The sequence below is a fragment of the Homo sapiens genome, chromosome 6 (assembly GCF_000001405.40).
Source record: "Homo sapiens chromosome 6, GRCh38.p14 Primary Assembly".
NCBI lineage: Eukaryota > Metazoa > Chordata > Mammalia > Primates > Hominidae > Homo > Homo sapiens.
Window position 1 is genome coordinate 112,242,765 of NC_000006.12, and position 20,556 is coordinate 112,263,320.

Below are 20,556 nucleotides of genomic sequence, written 5' to 3' on the forward strand. Positions count from 1 at the left end.
CCACATGTTGTGTTCTGCAAGATTCTTCTTTACATTGTTATTAAGATTTAGTGGACAGCTCTACTCTGTATAATATAATGTGAGTATTTCATGTTGATGTTTATAATGATTAATAATCTGTCACTGGCTTTCCCTTCCTTTCTCATTGAGTAAAAATACCTTCTCCTCTCTGGACCCTCTGCCATTTGGCACTGAACTGTTATGTGTTGACATGAGTCTCTGCTCAGTAGGTCTCCAGTCCCTGATCTCTTCCATTGTCTACTTTGCTGTCTCTCTGCAGTGGGGATAGGTTTAGGGTCATTCTGGAGGGTCCAGATAGAGTAGGGGGTAGCACCCTTGGACCCTGGCATGGGAGACCCATGAACATTCATTGACCACATGGAGACACACTTAGGCTGTCTGGGAAGCCTCATTGTTGTGTCACCTTGGAGAGGCTCATGTCTGTGGCTGGGTTGGTAACCTGTGCTGCAGATCAGCCCCAGCCCCACATCTGGAGTTGTTAGGAACCACCCCTCCCCACCCCCTACCACAGGCCAGGGCCCTGTGTTTCTTTCAGGCTCTGGACTCTTAAAGTCTTGGGTTCTAACTAGGGCAACAGCTATGACTATGTGATTCAGTATCTTAAGCCAGGTTCCCTTTAACTGGCGTAAATTTTAACTTATTTATTAAATAATTGTAGAATTTTGTTGCTAGAAGTAATCAGTTTTAATTTTTTTTTAGTATAATTGAGGCCCCAGCAGTTATACTAAAACTGCTGGGTAGAGGAATTGACCAGGTTTCTTTACCTGGCAAGGGTGATCTGGTTGTTAGTGATGGAGCCAAGAATCAGAAAGTTACAGACTCATAGTCTAGCTCTACTCAGCTCCATGAGAATCTCCTACTGATGACTCAACTTAAGGATAAACAGAAACAATAAAGAGTAAAAGAGTAATAATATATTAGAAGTAGATATCTTTTACAAGATATCTAGATATGCTCAGGTAATAATCACTAGTTCTAAAGCTAGGATGAGGCTGGGCATGGTGGCTCATGCATGCAATCCCAGCACTTTGGGAGGCCCAGGCAGGGGGATTGCCTGAGGTCGGGAGTTCAAGACCAGCCTGGCCAACATGGTGAAACCCTGTCTCTACCAAAAGTACAAAAATTAGCTGGGCATGGTGGCGGGTGCCTGTAATCCCTGCTATTCAGGAGGCTGAGGCAGGAGAATCACTTGAACCTGGGAGGCGGATGTGGCAGTGAGCCAAGATTGCACCACTGCACCCCAGCCTGGGCAACAGAGCTCTGCCTCAAAAATAAATAAATAAACAAAATAAAGCTAGGATGATTCAGTCCATTAAAACAATTGAAAAGAACATAAGGCAAAAAGTGAGAACCAGCAGGACTGGTTTCACAAGGTAACAGGTCACAAAGACCCCGCAGTAAAGAAGCTGGCCAAACCACGCCAAAACCAAGATGGTAATAAAAGCCACCTCTGGTCTCTGTCACTGCTCATTACATGCTAATTATAATACATTAGCATACCAAAAGAAACTCCCACCAGCACCGTGACAGTTTACAAATGCCATGAAATGTCTGGAAGTTACCCTATAAGGCCTGAAAGGTGGAGAAACTCACGGTTCTGAGACTTCCCCATCCCTTTCCTGGAAAACTCATAAATAATCCATCCCTTGTGTAGCATATGATCAAGAAATAACCATAAACACAGACAACCAGCAGCCCTCAGGACTGCTTGTCTATAGAGTACGCACCCTTTTATTCCTTTACTTTCTTAATAAACTTGCTTTCATTTTACTCTGTCGGCTGGTTCTTGAGTTCCTCCCTGTGTGAAGCCAAGAACCCACATGGCCTCCCAGGCTGAACTCCAATTTGGGGGTTTACCCTGTGACACGTGTACTACTGCTAATGGGCATTGTGTCCCGGGGTCAAGCACCCACACCTCCCCTCTCTTCTCACGTACAAAATGAGAGAGTTGAATCTCTAAACTTCCTAAGTCTGACATTCTATGATTCCTTTGATTTCATGGCTCATATTGCAAGGTATGATAGATTTATGTAACCAATAATAACCACCCACTGACTCTGCTTTCAAACAGGTCTCCTTTATGCTGAATTCTGTGCTGCAGGAGAAGCTTCAGGTCTCTTATGAATGGAATTTCAGGGTGTCTATTGGCATTAATGGTGGCAGACAACAATTTCAAAGGAACAATATAAAATGAGGCAATTATTCATGTACTACAATTAAACCGCAGCCCATCTCCAGATATTCAGACCATTTAATCTCCAAATAGCAGGCATTTAACACCTCATCTGTGACCTGGGGGTTGACAGAACCACCTAGGACTCAGGACAGATAGCAGGAAAAGAGGTAACACTTAGGTAACACCTTCAGCTTGTCAAATTGTATCACTGTTCATCAAAGGGAAACACACACATGTAGCCATGAAGTTTGAAAGGCATCCTGGACTACCTCTGCTGTGGAAGAAGAGGCTTGCCAGGGTTTTCAGAACCCGAATTTGTGCTGTGGCTCTGTGTTGTGATTCTAGAGGGTTCTATAGTCCTAGCATCCCAGGGCCTGAGGCTTACTAGACATTTCTCTTCCCTTTGGCTGGTGTCTATGTTATGTGTTTCTTTGGACTGACATTTGGCTTTCTAGAGCTGCTTGGTTCAGCATGCCATGTTGCATTTCACTTTGTACATAGACAACAGTGTTCCATGTAATAGTTGTGTGTGTGAGGGAAGTTTTAGTGAAGGTACTTTTGATTCCTAGAGTCCTTGATTTCCTTTGAAGCAATCATGCCACTCCAAAATGGCATAATTTCAAAATAAATATTAATATGCAAAGTCTTCATCATGCTCAGGGGCCCTTTTAGCTGTAGAGTACAGCCTGGATGACTGGTCTACTCTGCAAAGACTTGTGCTAATGCAGCTGTTAATGTTACGGGATTTCTCTAACTCATCAGTTCTCATGAAGTAAAAAATGTGTATACTTCACTCCATTTAGGTAAACACGGATCTCTAGCCTCCACCAAAACACAACATAAAAACTAAGAAAGTCCTGGGAGTGAAAAGAAGGTCATTTTGCATATTACTCAAATTATATTCACCCGTCTCTCCTCCCGCTTTTAACAGAATTTGTTTATGTATTTTTTTCTTTATGGAGAGGATTTGGGCTGAATATGGAAATTTTCCCATTACCATTCAGCTTCAGAATGTTGTTTCCCCCAAGTTTCTCATGATAAAAAGACTCAGATTCAGAGCCGAACTGCTGGCAGCTGAATTTCATTAAGACTTTGATGGGAAACTTAAGTTGGAATTACAAACATCTGTGGTTAAACTTCCCTTTAGTAAACCATTTCCCAGAATTTAACTTTACCACACCAAGAGCCAAAAAGAAAAACAGTTGAAAAAAGAATGCTGCTCTTTTGCAAATATGAGTAGGTATTTAAATATTCTTCTGTATGGTCACTATACATCAATAGACTAGGTTTACTTATTTTAGAAAAAAATGATTGTTTGGAAATGCTAAGGTTTGGACTCAAAGCATATACTAGCAATCTGGTTTTAATGGCTTTTAACCAATCAAAGTTCTCAAAATTATGTCTGGCCATCATTATATTTATGTGGTTACTATAAGCCAGAAAAAACTCTAAAGTAGGGGAGTGTTTTTGGCATTTTAATTCAAGAAACTGTGACAAGTCAGATTTAGTATTTAATTATGAGAGGAAAAAAGGTATTATCCTTGTCATATCAAAGCTGCTTTTTTTTTTTTTTTTTTGAGATAGAGTCTCGCTCTGTCGCCCAGGCTGGAGTGCAATGGCACAATCTCCGCTCACTGCAACCTCCGCCTCCCGAGTTCAAGGAATTCTCTGCTTCAGCCTCCCAAGTAGCTGGGATTACAGGCACCTGCCACCATGTCCAGCTAATTTTTTTGTATTTTTAGTAGAGGCGGGGTCTCACCATCTTGGCCAGGCTGGTCTTGAACTCCTGACTTTGTGATCCACCCATCTTGGCCTCCCAAAGTGTTGGGATTACAGGCGTGAGCCACCGTGCCCAGCTGCTGTTGGCTTTTTTCTTTAGCTTTTCTAGGGATTTAGCATTCATTTCTCTTAACTGCTCAGATCCTCCTATTGCTGGGGAAAGGCTGTTTAAAGAACCATAAAAGACACAATGATTATAAAAACTAAATGACAGCCTTCTTCTCCAATGTTGGATAATCAGCAAATTTTAAGCAAAAGTTAAAAGTACTCGAATTTATGGAATAAGTAAAGAGTTTGATAACAAAATACTTTTAACAAGATAGTGTAGAGCTTTACCTGAAGATAGACAGAGGCAGAGAGTGGAAAAATGAGGGAAAGGAAGGAGGGACAGACTGAGAGAAATGAGGGCTAACTTTGTGTTGGGCAGCTTACATATATTATTTCATTTAAATTTCACAAGAATTTTGCAAGGCAGGTGTATTTCTATTTATTTTACAATCAAAGGAACTGAGTATCTAAAAGATGGTCCAATTTGCCCAAAGTCAAACAGCTAGAAAGTTGTGGAGCTGGATTCACAGCGCATCTGTCTGGTTGTAAGCCCATATTCTGCCTGTAACGAAAGGTGAACTTCAAAATATTGTAAAGCAGAGGCTGCAAATAAATGATCTTTAGGCTGAATCTGGCCCTCAGATGTACTCAGCCTACAGGGCATTAAAAAAAATTTGAGTCAGCAATTTCACTTATGAATCCAAATTCTGTCTTCTTTTGAAAAAGACACAACAAAACAAAACAAAACCAGAAGACCTGGCAATGCTGAGAGGTGGCTGCCACTCTGGAAGAGGGATTCTTCCATTTCCTGTTATCGAGGCCCACCACTCACAGGATGCGTTTCTTTACCGAGCTAGATTCACTCAATTCTTTTTTACCTGGCCCCTATAAGACTCCAAGTCTTAAAACTTTCTCTGTACCATATGATCCAGCAATTCCACTTCTAGGTATACACTCCCAAAAAACTGAAAGCAAGAACTCAAACAGAGGCTTGTACAGCAATATTCATAGCAGCATTACTCACAGTAGCCAAAAGGTAGAAACGACCCAAATGTCCATCAACAAAATGAATGGACAAAACATAGTGTACATATAAACAGAGTATTATTCAGTTTTAAAAAGGAATGCAATTCTGACACATGCTACAACATGGGTGAGCCTCAAAGACATTATGCCAAATGAAATAAGCTAGGCACAAAAGGATAAGTACTGCATGATTATGTATATGGAGTATTTAGAGTAGTTAAATTCATAGAGACAAAGTAGAATTGTTGTTGCCAGGGGCTGGAGGAAGGAGTTAATCGGAAGTTATCATTTAATGGGTTTCAGTTTGGGAAAATGAAAAAGTTCTGGAGATTGATGGTGATGGTTTTATAACAATGTGAATATAGTCAATGCCACTGAACTGTGCCCTTAAAAATAGTTCAAATGGCCAGGTGCAGTGGCTCATGCCTGTAATCCCAGCACTTTGGGAGGCCGAGGCAGGCAGATCACAAGGTCAGGAGATTGAGACCATCCTGGCTAACACGGTGAAACCCGTCTCTACTAAAAATACAAAAAATTAGCCAGGCATGGTGGCACACGCTTGTAGTCCCAGCTACTCGGGAGGCTGATGCAGGAGAATTGCTTGAACCCGGGAGGCAGAGGTTGCAGCGAGCCAAGATAGCACCACTGTACTCCAGCCTGGGTGACAGAGGGAGACTCTGTCTCAAAAAAAAAAAAAAAAAAAGTTCAAATGGCAAAGTTTCTGTTATTTTTATTTTATCATGTTAAAAGAAAAGACTTCCTCTGGTTAAATCAGAGAACCCTGGAACACTAGGGAATGGAATTCTTTACTTTTTAGCAATGTTATAATAAATTCCATAACATAGACCAGGTATTCCATAGGTAATACTGTTATGAATTTCCTACTTATTAATCTAAATCAACAGCTTTTAAGATAGACTGTAGCATCACGTGGAGGACACACCCTAGAATATCATTATAAAGAGAAAATAGGATAAGGAGACTCTATAGTTGAAAAAAAAAGTGCTCTATCAGGAAGACTCCCTGGTATACAGAAAGCAGAGAAAGGAATATGAAAATTTGGTTAAGGTAATTACCACTCTTAAATGTCAATGAACTCATCTGTAAAATGGGTATAATTTTCACTATTTAGTATTAAGACAATTCATGGAGGTTGATGGGACATAGTAGAAGTCAACAAGTATTAGTTTTTTTCTTTCTTACGTGAGTAGTTTTAAAAAGTAGTCATTAGGCTAGACGGAGAAGGGAAGTTATCTCAACTTTTTGTAACTTATGCTACTCATCTAACAAGCACTGCAAAAATGGTCTTTAAATTGCATTTTATATTTCTTCATTTAAAGAAATTCCCAGCAGGGTGCGGTGGCTCACGCCTGTAATCCCAGCACTTTGGGAGGCCGAGGCGGGTGGATCATAAGGTCAGGTGATAGAGACTATCTTGGCCAACATGGTGAAACCCTGTCTCTACTAAAATACGAAAAATTAGTTGGGCGTTGTGGCATGTGCCTGTAATCCCAGCTACTTGGGAGGCTGAGGCAGGGGAATCGCTTTAACTCAGGAGGCAGGGGTTGCAGTGAGCTGAGATCAAGCCACTGCACTCCAGACAGGCAATAGAGCAAGACTCTGTTTCAAAAAAAAAAAAAAAAAAAAAAAAAAGGAATTCCCAAAACTTTGACTAGAAGTATTCCTATATATATTTCTATTTACCTAATCACCTCTTCCTAGCTACTTTTGCACAGTTGAACTGCTTTTATAAACTCCTTCCTAGCTGTGCTGCTTACAAGCAGGGGCCTGGGCAAATGCTCTGTGCCTCGGTTTCTATGTGTATCAAATGAGATAATAACGATACCAGTCACATTGATTTGTCATGAAAGTTACTGGAAATTACTCATGGGAAGTGTTTACATCAGTATCGGCATGTGGTAAGTACTCAACGAGTATCAGCTATGAGCCATACTATTATTGCTATTACCACCACTGCTATATTCCAGTTCTTCTAAAATAAGGTTTTTGAAGCCTATTTTGGTGTTTGGCAAGTAAGTTTTGTGCCCTACTGGTCTAGCACAGGAATAATACTTTTTTCACATTACCTCCATGGCACTTACCTTGTAGCCACTCTTATAGAATGTTAGTACATTGTTCTGTATATAATGGCCACTTATTTTTTTTCTCTCTTCAATTGCTCACCCCTGAGGGCAAAGATGAGACTATACCTTCTTTCTATTGCTCCTTGTACCTATTTTATTGCTCTTTCGAGGTAAGGCTCCAAACCAGCTTGTTGGGTGAATAAATGAATGAAATAATGACTGCATGTAAGGGGTTCAGATTACCTAATTGAATTGTTGGAACAGCAATGTAGAGTGATAACCCAGGCTAGCAACTGGAGGTCTTAGTGTGATCTCAAGGGACCTTTTTCAAAGCAAGTGACCAAGATAAGAAAAAAGAAAGCAGATGGTTAAAGAGATCTAAAATGTTTTTATTAAACATTCTGCAATCTTTTAATGGCAGGACCCTAACAATGTGCTGGGACATGGGGTCACGTATCAACAAGGAAAAAAGTCAAGAGGAAAAGTCCCTCAGAGTTAGTCTGCTTTATAGAGTTTCTTTTTAGCAAGTCAGTTTTTCCAGTGTAAGGTATGTTCATGGGCACTGATCTTCTTGGAGTGAAGTTAACACAACAATAATGACAACAATAGCAAAACTGAGGTTTCTAGGAGAGAAATTCCTCTTTTCCCCTCTGAGGGGCAACTCATTGACAACTCAATGTTGTCAATTGTATCCCTTATTCTATCATTTATCTGTGAAAGCCAGTAATAGCACCGTCACCTCCTCCACCACCTTCCACCTTGCCCTGTCAGAAGAGTCCTTGCCTTCTCAGTTTCTCAGTCTCTGTGTGGCTTCTTTCCAGCCACACAATGTAACCTCCAACCTCATGTTCTTGACCTTGTTTAGTTCCTACTTCTTTTTGATGGACAAGAATCTCATTCTTCCTAAGGACATTCTGTTACTGGCTTCTTGTGGGGGTGTTCCCATCTTCATTCCTGCCCCCACACCAGTTCTTTTCCATATCTACCATATCTATATTGGTCAAGAAGAGTTTGGCCTAGTTTTTCCTGCTATAGTGTGTGTGGTGGAATGAATAGACTTTCTTTTCCTTAATGTGAAATATTAGAATACTGATTATCATTATTGAAACTGCCCAGTCTTCCCTTTTGAGAATCACCTGTTGAGAATCACTGTTCTCACCATAAACTCAGCAATAAAGGACTCAGTAGATTAAGTGTCAAGAAGCAAAGGTGGGAAAATCCTCCCCACAACTAGTACGGAGTTACCCACAGGTGCTCTTCTTTTCAAATACTTTGCATCTGGGGGGAAGCTTTGGCTTGTTTTACAAGGAAAAGAGGAGACTTCCTTTTTGGTCAGCCAACAATCTCTATCCTTTTATTCCGTGCATATTTCATGTATTTGTTCCCCAGCTCACATGGAGCAATACAGCATGCCAGAGTTTGTGTCTTGGGCCAAGTACTCAGGGATGGAGAGTCCACAAGCTGGGCTATTGAAGAGCTTAGGAGAACCTCAGGAAGGCCTTCAGCCAAGCACCTCCCACTGCTCCATGCTTGCCTTAATATTTTTCTTCATTCCCTCTGAAGGAGAATTGCAGAATAACCATTCATATAAATCCAAGTAAAGAGAATGTATTTTTAGAATATCTTCCCATCCACACATTGAACCTCTCCCATGAATAATGTGTCCGTGTTCTCTTTCTCTCTCCACATATACACAAATACAGTCTCCTGAGCCAACCCAGTAAAGTGTTTGTACCATGTTATTAAGTCTCCGGAATGTATTTGGTTTAAGGTCTGGTTACTGCTATAAAGAGCATGGGAAACCTGATGGTGGGGCGTTGGGATCGCCATGGGACCGCAGGCTAACTGGAGGCATTATGTGAAACTATGCAGTGGGAACATAATTACCTCAATCTCACCCTTTCTACACCATATACTTTGACCTTCCTGGAATGACTAATATCTTCTTTCTGTTTTTCAAAACTGAAGGCCTCCACTGGCATTCTGAACCTATTAGACTCTGACATTACTACAAATTTAATTCACTACGTGACATTTTTTTTCCAGCTGGAAGAATATAGATAAACAGATATAATAATATTAAGTAAAAGAAAACCATAAACATAAGGTTCTAAGGAATATTCTCAAATAAGGGTTTCTTTTAATCTGATCATCATCCACATTTTTTATAGTAACAATTGTAACAACTCTTGGCATATATAGGGCATTTATACTATGTCAAGCACTATGCTAAGCACTCTATTTTATCTAATTTCATTACAATAAAAGTATGAGGTATGAAGCAGGCATCAATAAATTCTGTCAGTATCAGTTTATCTGCAGTCTGGGGATCTGTAACTTGACCAAGGTCAAAGAGCTTGAAATTTCAACTTGGGACCATCAGACTGAAAACCTGCAATCTGAAACACTTTGCTGTGCTGCCTTCCTATTATTTCACCAAACATATGAGCACATAAGAAATTTCCTAGGGTCTTAGCATTAATTTTAAGGTTCTCTAAAACTCAAAAAATTACTTTCCTATTTTTTTTGTGGGATGAGAGTTACAAAAAACAGTTGTATATGGCTTGTCTCTTTAGACCTAACAGATACAAATACAGGATGCCCGGATAAATTTGAATTTCAGATGAACAATGAAAACAAATTTTAATATAAATATGTCCTCTGCAGTATTTGGGATGTGATCAAAATTCATTCATTATTTATCTGAAATTCACATTTGAGTGTCCTGCAATTTATCTGCCAATTTTACTCTTAAGTAAAATTAAGCATTTCATTCAGGGACTTTACGTGCTCAAAGCAACAGGTGGAGATAATGCTTCCCTGGGGTTAATTCCAAGCCTGTAGAGAAGCAAAGCCTTCCCATTGCATGAAGTCCCTCCTGGTCTGGCTTCTCCCCAAGTTTCTGGGTATGAAGTTGACCAGAAGCCATGCTCCCTCTTTTTCATGGAGGCTACATTTTATACCACAGTGAGAGGTTGGCATATTCTGACCCTGTCCACTCTCTTTTTTGGGGCAATGTGGGTAGGGCTTACTCTGAAGAAGGACCATGTTCATGCACCTTATTTTTAATCATCAATAATTAATAACTATAATTGTACTAACAATTAACAGAATTCATAGCAATAATCCATGCATCAGTGATGTTAGAAATGGTGTCAATCCACATAACTGTTTTAGTTGTACAGTTGCTGTAACCATAGCTATAGAGTGTGGTGTTTGTTTTGCTAGGTCAATTGCTCCTTCCTTTCCCATGAACTTAGGTGACTTTATTTTCCTCCCTCTTAGCATGTCCCATGCAATGGGCATGCTGTTGTCTGTTTCAGTTCAGGGGTTCTTAAATCACTTGTTCTGGATTCATTCTCCTTTACCAGACCTCTACATTCTGGTTTTGTTTCCAACTTAAAAGCTATTGTAAGGTATTCAAACAGCAGCTCTTTGAATAAACATATTATCAATAGCATATCCTGAGGCTTGATTTTAATGGAAACATCTTGTTTCTGGAATACAATGGCTCGTTTCTACTTAAGATACCCTCTCAGCAGTTGTCTAACAGCTCCTTTCATGACCAGCCACTCTCACTCACCCCCTCACCTTCCCTGCTGCAGAAGACTTCTTGTCTAATATGAGACAAAAAGATCCTGCAGTAGTGTTCCCACTGTCCTAACAGCACAGAGGAGCAGGAAGCCAGTGACAGGGCACACACGTTAAGTGCCGTGGCTTGACAAAATGACTACTGGGACACGCAAGTGGCAGAAGTCACCGATGTGCTGCTGCAGTCCCCGGTGAGAGTCTAGCGGATGAACTCAGAGCACCAACACATGCACTCTCACCCCTTTGAGCAGACACATTCCGAAGCCTCAACTTTCAACTCTCAACATCCAAATGCAACTTACAAAGGAAAACTCTTTATTTCAAGTTTCCGAACTGACCTAGCCCAGGTGAAACTCTCAAGGCACTGGGGAGAGGAAAGAGGCGGAGAGAGAGAGAAGGACGAGTGTGGCACAGCCCGCGGGGGCGCAGGTGCCCCAGCAGGGTGGCAATGGCAGGGACACTGTACCTCGGCCGCAGGCGGCAGGCGTCCCAGAGCCACGCGGGGTTCGCTCGTCTCAGGCGGGTCTTGCCTGCCAACCGCTGAGCTCCCTTCAATGTCAAAAGGAAAAGCGTTGTCGTCCCCGGACGCGGCGCGGGAGCAGGCAGCGCTCCAGAGGAGCCACAGAGGCAGAACCGAGCGCCAGGCTGAGCTCAAAGCCATTTCTCCGCTGACATCCAGTAGTGCTCTTCCAGGGCTCGGGCGCTGTGGGTCTCCGTAGGTCTCCCGCGTGGTGCGGCGGTGCCTCGCTTATTTTCCCTCCTCTCCGTGTGCAGTATCCCGAGGTGGCTGCGCAACCAGCAGCTTAGGAAATAAAGGGAAAGTGCGAGAGTAAGGGAGAGTTCCAGCCTCTCTCTCCCTCTCTCTCTCTCCCCTTCTCCCCCTCTCTCTCCCTCTCCCTCTCCCTCTTTCACTTTTTCTCCTTCCCGCAGAGGTTCTGGCTCAAGAACCTACAGATGGACGGAGCTTACAGTACGGCATCAAAAGGCAGACGGATTGGGGTGAGCCCCGCCAGCGCTAGGCCACCTCCTCTCCCTGGCCGTTCGGGACTGGGGACTGCGCTGTCCTGGCTTCCTTCTCACATTCATTCTCACCACTCCCTTTTTACCTTCTACTCCCAGGCCCTCCCACTCTAAGCTGGCTTTTCAGACACTGAGGTCCGCCTTTCCCTGCGGTCTTCCCTCCCCTCTCAGTTTGGAGCCCCTCCAAGGGCTCCAGAAGAATATTCAGCTTTTGTGACGCTTCCTCACCACTCTTATTTATGTAGTCAAGGTACCGGATGTCTTATCTATATTTACATAGATATTTTATGTGGCCCCCGCTAGTTTGCAGGAAAGTGGGTGGAAAAGGGATTCCAGGGCAGGAACCAAAGGTAGATGATCTCTGAAGGCAGAGGGTCAGGGTGCCCACTTTCTTGAGCAAGGTTTCTCGGGTTTTTTCTGGGGGATAGACTGTTGCACTCTTTGTGCTAATATCTTCTCTTCAGATTCACTGGCCACCCCTCTTCCTCCCTCCAGTCCTCACCCAGAGGGCTTGGGAGAAGAATATCTTTCACTGCAGCGCTGGAAAATGACTTCATTACCCAAATGCATGAACTTTTATTTACAAAGACCATCTTGTTTTCATCCTAAAGAGGTGCTTTGTAAGGGGCCCGGAACAAGGCTTGCAGTGTATGAGCCTGTCAAGTATACTGCCTACAGCCCCGGCCTCTTCCTCTTGGCCTGTAATCTCATGCCTACTACATCTGTCTGAATCATGTAACCTTTCCAAGACTTCAGGGTGAAGTTGGGCTACAGCTATGTCAGGGGTGCCCCTGTGGATGGGATAGTGTCTGCAACAGCTGATAGGTACCTTTGTTTACATTGGCTTCATAACGAGCTCTAAACATTTCCACAAGATCCAACCATGGTTTAAAAATGGTCAGATGAGACAACCATAAAATGACACCCAGGTAAGCTTCCAGGTGAAATAAAGCATTTTTGTATAACCTAATCATAAAATAAATAAATAAAGCCTTTCCATAAAACCTAATCATTAGCTCCATTTCATAGAACAAAAGTCATTTTATCTAAGTGTAAGCAAAACCATTTATTTTGCACCTAACATGTGCCAGATACTTGGCATATGCTATTTGTAAACCTCAGCATTCCTGCAAAGTAGTACCATTATTTTCCTTTTACAGAAGAAGAAAGTGAGGTTCAGAGAGACTAGGACATTTGCCCAAGGTCGCACAGCTGGTGGAAAGCAGAGATGGGGTTTGGATCCAGGCCTCACTGATTCCAAAGCTCTCTTTTACATCTGTATACACGACACTGCAACTTTAAAATAAAGAGTATGAATTCAGAGGTGAAGGAAATGGACACTTTTATTTTTTGAGTGCCTCCCATGTGCAAAAAAATCACATAAATTGTCTCATTTAGGGCTGGGCGTGGTGGCTCATGCCTGTAATCCCAGCACTTTGGGAGGCCAAGGTGGGTGGATCATGAGGTCAGGAGTTCGATACCAGCCTGGCCAACATGGTGAAACCCCGTCTCTACTAAAAATACAAAATTTAGCCAGGCATGGTGGGAGGCGCCTGTAGTCCCAGCTACTCGGGAGGCTGAGGCAGGAGAATTGCTTGAACCCGGGAGGTGGAGGTTGCAGTGAGCAGAGATTTTACCACTGACTCCAGCCTGGGTGACAGAGAAAGACTCCAGCTCAAAAAAAAAAAAAAAAAAAAAAAAAAAAATTGTCTCATTTAATTTCATCTTTATGATAATCTCATGAAGTAGGGATTGTCATACACATTTGGCCATGGGTAAGTGGTAAAATTACTACTATAGCCCAGGTAAATCTGATGGTAAGATCTTTGATTTTAAATGATAAAATTGTATGATACAAAAGAACCAAAGCCAAAGGAAGCAAAAATAATTCCTATAGGTTTTAAAGTGATATTTTGATTTTAAAATATTAAAATAGTATTGCAAGGGACTATTAAGCTAAATTATGATACTCTTCTTTTACATAGACTTGTTAACCTACTAAATTAAGTGGGAGAAGTTAAAAACATGTTTGGTTTAGTTGAGAGACTGATATTGGGAAAAAAGATAGCCAGACTCTGAGACAAAACAGATTATGCTCAGTTATACTGACCCAGTCACCCTTTAAAAGAACATTAAATAATAATAATATTAATTATATATGATGTATATTAAATATTCTGACTTCAGATACAGATCTCTTCAGCTCACCAAAACTCATATATTTGTTTTCTGAAGGATTTCATCTTGTTCTTTACTAGCTGCCAATTAATCACACACTTTTTAATTTAATCTGGGCCCTCTTCTGTCTGCCTGCCCAGTGCTGGTAGGAGTGTATTCGTCCAAGACCTATGGACTTCTTATTTTTGGTTAAATATGTGCTCCCAGCTCTTCCTCTTCATCTTCTTTCTGTGGGTACTATTATTGTTTTTGAGACAAAATGGCATAATATGCAGGGGGATGGGTTTTGTATAAAATAAAACAGGGTTCAAATCCTGGGTCTGCATGTAGTACTTTTGGGAGCTTGGCATGTAACTTAGTCCCTCTGAAAGTTTCCTTCCCTGTAAAATGGGCATAATGATGCCTTTTTGTCATAGGCATTTCAACTAGAGCAATTCCATCTTGAATAGGGGCTGGGTAAAATAGGACTGAGACCTACTGGGCTGCGTTTGGAGGAGGTTAGGCATTCTAACTCACTGGATGAGACAGGAGATCAGCATAAGATACAGGTCACAAAGACCTTGCTGATAAAACAGCATGCGGTAAAGAAGGCAGTCAAATCCCAACAAAACCAAGGTGGTGACCTTGGTCGGACTCACTGCTCATTATACGTGAATTATATTGCGCTAACATGCTAAAATACACTCCCACCAGCACCATGACAGCTTATAAATGCCATGGCAACATCAGGGAGTTACCCTATATGGTCTAAAAAAGGGAGGAACCCTTAGGTTCCCAGAAATTGCCGACTCCTTTCCCAGGAAACTCATGAATAATCCACACCCTGTTTAGCATATAATCAAGAAATAACCATAAAGATAGGCAATCAGCAGCCCTTGAGGCTGCTCTGCCTGTGGAGTAGCCATTCTTTTATTCCTTTACTTTCTGAATAAACTTGGCTTTACTTAACTCTATGGACTCGCCTGGAATTTTTTGTTGCGTGAGATCCAAGAACCTTCTCTTGGGGTCTGGATTGAAACCTCTTTCTGGTAACATTTTCACTGAATTATTATGGGTAGTAAATGAAAGAATATAAATAAACATTAACACAGACTAGCATGTAGTCAGAGCTCAATAAATACTATTTAATTATACAATAAGCCCCCATTTAACATTATCTATATGTTCTTGGAAACTGCAACTTTAAGCAAAACAACATACAATGAAGCCAATTTTACCTTAGGCTAATTGACATAATTAAGATTTATTTAAATTCCTATGACATAGTTCTGGTCACAAAAACATCACTAAACTTCTAAAGAAAGACCAAAATGCTTCTAATGGTAAATATGAAAATAAATGTGAGCTATACGTACATTTCAGAAAGATTAATAGAAACAAGTGTGAGAATTATTTACCCAATGTTTGGTGAATCAGTGAGTGACAGCAGTCATAGTGGTGGTGGGTTAAAGCAAGGAATAAATGTTTTAAAGCAAAAATTATAAGCACCTCCTACCACCATGCAATTCAAAAAAACCCAACAACAAATATGATGGGCTCGCTGAACGCTTCCATGCAGCATCATTTATTGTCATATGCCTGTATGATTATTGTAGACTTCATGAATTTTTATTTGATAACAATTTTTGTTCATTATTCAATCATTTTCCAACCTGCTTTTTCCAACTCAGAGTGTTGGGTGGCTGGAGCCCATACTGGCAGCTCAGAGTTCAAGCTGGGGACCCTGGACAGAAGGCCATTCCATTGCCGGGCACGCTCACACACACACAGCCACACTCACTAAGACTGGAACCATGCAGACGTACCAAGGAACGAGGATATCTTTGAGATGTGGGAGGAAACTGAAGTACCTGGAGAAAACTCACGTGAGAACTTGCAAATTCCACACAGACAGTGGCTCCAGCCAGGAATTGATTTTTTTTTTTTTCTCACCAATATTATGACAAAGCAACATTGAAAGAAACAATGTTATTCTGGGACCTGCCTTACTATATTTTCAAATCTTAAAGAAGAACAAAATGACTATTGTAAAAGAGGAAAGGCAACCATTTTATTTATCCTGGTGTAGGTAACCTCCCATGTTTGAGAATAGCCATTCACATTTCTGGCTGCTACTGGGCCCTTCCTTGCATTAACCAGGAATGAGGCAGTCATGGGCCACAGAGTCATAGGTCAAGCAGATGAGGAGAGAGCACGGCTGACTAATTTACAGCAAGTTAAAAGGCAGCAGAAACCTTTGGTGAGTTACCTCCTCACCAAAGGGCCACTCCTTGACCACCAAACACCTGAGTGTAGGAGGATTTTATTCCTGCCACAAGGGCAACTGGGAAGCATTTCTAGTGCGGCTGCTTTCTTATCACGGCTCTCCCTTTCTCTCCCTCCTGGGATTGAGGCTTGGTGTTCACCCAGTCTTTTCATGGCTGTCATCGTTTTCGGGACACCTATCTACCCCGTGATGACAGGGGTGCTGCTCCATCATCCACAATGCATAGAAGACAGCACGGACATGCAGAGACGCTCACAGTGCCTACAAGGACACTAAGCCCGTTAGTACAAAACGAGGGCCCCCACACCATCCAACTCCCAGACCAATACTTTCCCAACTAGGCCGAGCTATTTTTGGTTCTGGCAGCAGCAGATCTGATGATTTTGAGGTTTTATCAAAAGAAGCTTCTGGAATTCCCTTTTGAGGACCCTAGTGTGATAATCAGCAGATAAATATCAGGGCTGCCTACCCCTTCAGAGCTTGGCTGTTAGACCTGTCCTCAGCATCCAAAGCCCTAAGGAGGGTGTTATTAACACATCCCATGTGCCCTTCTGTAAATAGAAAGTCACGTCAGATGCTATTTTGAACTTGTAAGTGCTAATCTTGACATAACTAGACAGAGGATTGTTGTGGGGACTGTGTACTAGTGACAATAATTTTGTGATGAGATGAGTCAGAGAAGCAAGTATGAACTATCCCCCACCATGAGGTCTCTAACTGGCACTCAAGTAGCAGGACCAGAAAGTGTAAGATGGCGTCTCTTTTTTTCTGCTGATCCTGCTGTCCTCTCAGACCAAGATTCCCTTCTATGAACGACTCTGGTGGATGTTCAGTCTCTGTGAGGAGGAGCAGCAGCGAGAGTGCTAGGAGGTGAATAGGGTTTAAAAGTTGTTCTTCCTGGCTGGGCATGGTGGCTCATGCCTGTAATCTCAGCACTCTGGGAGACCTAGGCAGGCGGATCACCTGAGGTCGGGAGTTCGAGACCAGCCTGACAAACATGGAGAAACCCCATCTCTACTAAAACTACGAAATTAGCCAGGTGAGGTGGTGCATGCCTGTAATCCCAGCTACTCGGGAGGCCGAGGCAGGAGAATCGCTGGAACCCAAGAGGCGGAGGTTGCGGTGAGCCGAGGTTGAGCTATTGCGCTCCAGCCTGGGCAACAAGAGTGAGATTCCATTTCAAAACAAAAAACAAAAAACTTGTTGTTTCTTCTGTTAGTTTTCTCAGGCTTTTGCCCAGGACATGAATAGTATGTGCTATCTATGCTTCCTCTGCAGTCATAGACTCATTTGGCTTTTAGTATATGCTATCAGCATTCTTCATCATTCATTCTTTCATCCATCCATCTATTCATATATTATTTATTTAATCATCATTTGTTAAGTAGCTCAGTACACCAGGTTTAGATGCTGAGGATAAAATGCTAAAGACATTATTCTGTCAAGTGTGTTAAAAAAATATTTATTTATTTATTTATTTGTTTTGAGACAGAGTCTCACTCTTGCCCAGGCTGGAGTGCAGTGGTGCAATCTAGGCTCACTGCAACCTCCACCTCCCAGGCTCAAGAGATTCTCCTGCCTCAGTTTCCCGAGTAGCTGGGATTACAGGCGCATGCCACCACACCCGGCTAAATTTTGTATTTTTTAGTAGAAACAGGGTTTCACCATGTTGACCAGAGGCTGGGCTCGAACTCCTAACCTCAGGTGATCCTCCTGCCTTGGCCTCCCAAAGTGCTGGGATTATAGGCGTGAGCCACCACGCCCAGCTGACTGTCAAGGAGTTTTTTAAGAGTCTGGTTGGACTCTGTAAGGAATGCAATGATTAACAGGAGTTCAAAGAGAAAGTGCAGAAATGCTTCTGATAAAACATATCGAACAAGCCTTTTATCCAGATGCACTTCAAATAGGAAGTGCAGAAAGGCTTCTGATAAAATATATCAAACAAGCCTTTTACCCAGGGGAAGTCAGAGAGGCTTGAGAAGAAGAGAGCAACCGGGCTGAGTCTGAACTGATGGGAGAAGGGGAAGGATGGTGCTCCAGAAGTGAAGTGCAGATGCAGAAGGACAGACAAGTCTGGGCACAGTGGCTCATGCCTGTAATTCCAGTATTTTGGGAGGCTCAGGCGGCGGATCACCTGAGCCCAGAAGTTTGAGACCAGCCTAGGCAACATGGTGAGACCCCATATCTACAAGAACAAAAAACAAAAAAAAACCAAAAAACAAAAACCCCAAATATTAGCCAGGCATGGTGCTATGTGCCTGTAGTCCCAGCTACACGAGAGACTGAGGTGGGAGGATCACCTGAACCTGGGAAGTCAAGGCCGCTGTGAGATCGCACCACTGTACTACAGCCTGGGTGACAGAGTGAGAGCTTGTCTTAAAAAACTAAAATAAAATAAACCAGAGGAACAGACACATCAGGGAACATGATGCCATGGGAGGGTGAGAAAGCCATATGATTTCTAGTTGCTCTCTGAGCCCCGCCAACCGTTCACAGGGTACCGTCCCTGCTGTCAGGCCCACAGAGCCTGCAGGAAAAGAAAGAACTTCCCCAGCCTCCTACTGCTCTCTCAGCACTGCACACCAATCCAGGCCCAGTAAGTAACAGAGGATCCTTCCCCATTGCAAATCTGAACACTGGGAGCTGTTAGGCCTAGTATTTACACCCTGAGCAAAAACCCAATAAAACTGATGGGAGAAAGAACAACTTTTAAAAGGCCTCCATGCCTCTCCTAGCACCCTTGCTGTGCTGTTGCACCTCAAACAGCCTGAACTTCCACCAAAGTCAGTCATAAAAGAGAATCTCCATCTGAGAGGAGAATCAGCAGAAAAAGAGACACTGTCCCTCTTAAACGTTTCATTCCTACCATTGGGTACCAGTTAGGGTACAGGGTGGGGGAGAGCTGGTGCTTGCATCTCTGACTGATCTTACCATAAAATTGTCTTCACTGTTTTTTAGGTGAATAAATTTAAGTGTAGAAATGACATGATCATATTTGCATTAACTTTATTTTTTTTGTTTTGAGACAGAGTCTTGCTCTGTTGCCTGGCGCAATCTCAGCTGGCTGTAGCCTCTGCCTCCTAGGTTCTAGTGATTCTCCTGCCTCAGCCTCCCAAGTAGCTGGGATTACGGGCACACGCCACCATGCCCAGCTAATTTTCTAATATATGTAATTTTTAATTTTACTATAATTACTTTATCTGGTACATTTAAAATTTTATACAAAAATTAGCTGGGCGTGGTGGCATGCACCTGTAGTCCCAGCTACTCAGCGAGGCTGAGGCAGGAGAATCACTTGAACCTGGGATGTGGAGGCTGCAGTGAGCCAAGATCATGCCACTGCACTCCAGCCTGAGCGACAGAGCGAGACTCCGTCTCAAAAAAAAAAAAAAAAAGAAAGAAAGAAAAAAAGGAAAAGAAATTACATGTATCACAAAAGGTGGAAATAATAGTTACCAGAAATCATACTATTCTGGGGCAATAACTTACAACACTGAAAACGTTTTGGTGTAAATACCTTCAGACTTTTGTGACATCTATATTAATGTGACCCATCTATTTTTATATTTTATATATTTTATTATATATTATATATATGTTTTGTACGTATTCATTTTGTCTATTCCATCTATTTTTTTTTTTTTGCAAAAATGAATCCAACTGTACATAATATATTTCAACTTTTTCTCCATGTCAGTGTAACTCCAGTATGTTACCATGAATAGCTTGCAGTGTTCAGATTTGAATTTTGGGAAGACCTCCTGGTGTGGATGGGGCCTGGAATTGAGGACAGTGCTAAGAGACCAGTTAGGAGGCTGGGAAAGCCCTTGCTTCTCATGCAAGCTCTGTTAACCCCAAGGGCAGGGACTATACTCATGAACTGGGGACTCAGGAAGCTTTTGGGGATGATAGTAGCAATGATTGGGTTGGCCTGATGGAGAGTGAAACAAACAGATGAGAGCATGGTCCTAACAAGGATTATTGACCAGCCTCTGCTGTGGCCATTCCTTTAGGTCTAATAGGATAATTACTTCATCAGCAATAAAGGAAAGTGATGGATGCTCCCGGTAATGTTTTCAATAGAGAACAGCAGGTGTCAACATCAATTAGCTCAGTTGATGAGATCAATATAACATAGGAGCTCCTGGGACCTGTTAATGAAATGATATAATTAAGAAGAATGGAACAACTTTCAAAAAAGGAGGCCTAAGAAACTGACTTTTGTGTCCGTACATCCACCCCCACTCCCAGTACCACAAAGGAACTATCCGTTAAGAACAGGATTGCTGTCAGCATGGTGGGAAGATACACAGAATGAAATGTTAAAATCTGTTCTAACCTGCTCTGTGTGAGCAGCTGCAGAAACT

At 42.1% G+C, this 20,556-nt stretch overlaps 1 protein-coding gene and 1 long non-coding RNA gene across 12 annotated transcripts in view; one reads left to right on the forward strand and one right to left on the reverse strand.

Moving 5' to 3' along the window:
• LAMA4 (laminin subunit alpha 4) overlaps positions 1 to 12,221 on the reverse strand; it is a 147,055-nt gene extending 134,834 nt beyond the window's left edge. For 3 of the 11 annotated variants that reach the window (NM_001105207.3, XM_005266983.5, XM_047418771.1), the window contains exons 1-2: positions 11,678 to 11,803; positions 11,192 to 11,527 (exon numbers count right to left, since the gene is read on the reverse strand). In NM_001105207.3, the coding sequence (NP_001098677.2) occupies positions 11,192 to 11,386 (195 nt within the window). In that variant the 5' untranslated portion in view covers positions 11,387 to 11,527; positions 11,678 to 11,803. The other 8 variants (XM_017010854.3, XM_005266984.5, NM_002290.5 and 5 more) reach the window with 6 other exon arrangements.
• The window catches only part of LAMA4-AS1 (LAMA4 antisense RNA 1), a 70,088-nt gene that overhangs the window by 6,169 nt on the left and 43,363 nt on the right, over positions 1 to 20,556 (forward strand). The gene's annotated exons all lie outside the window — the stretch shown is intronic.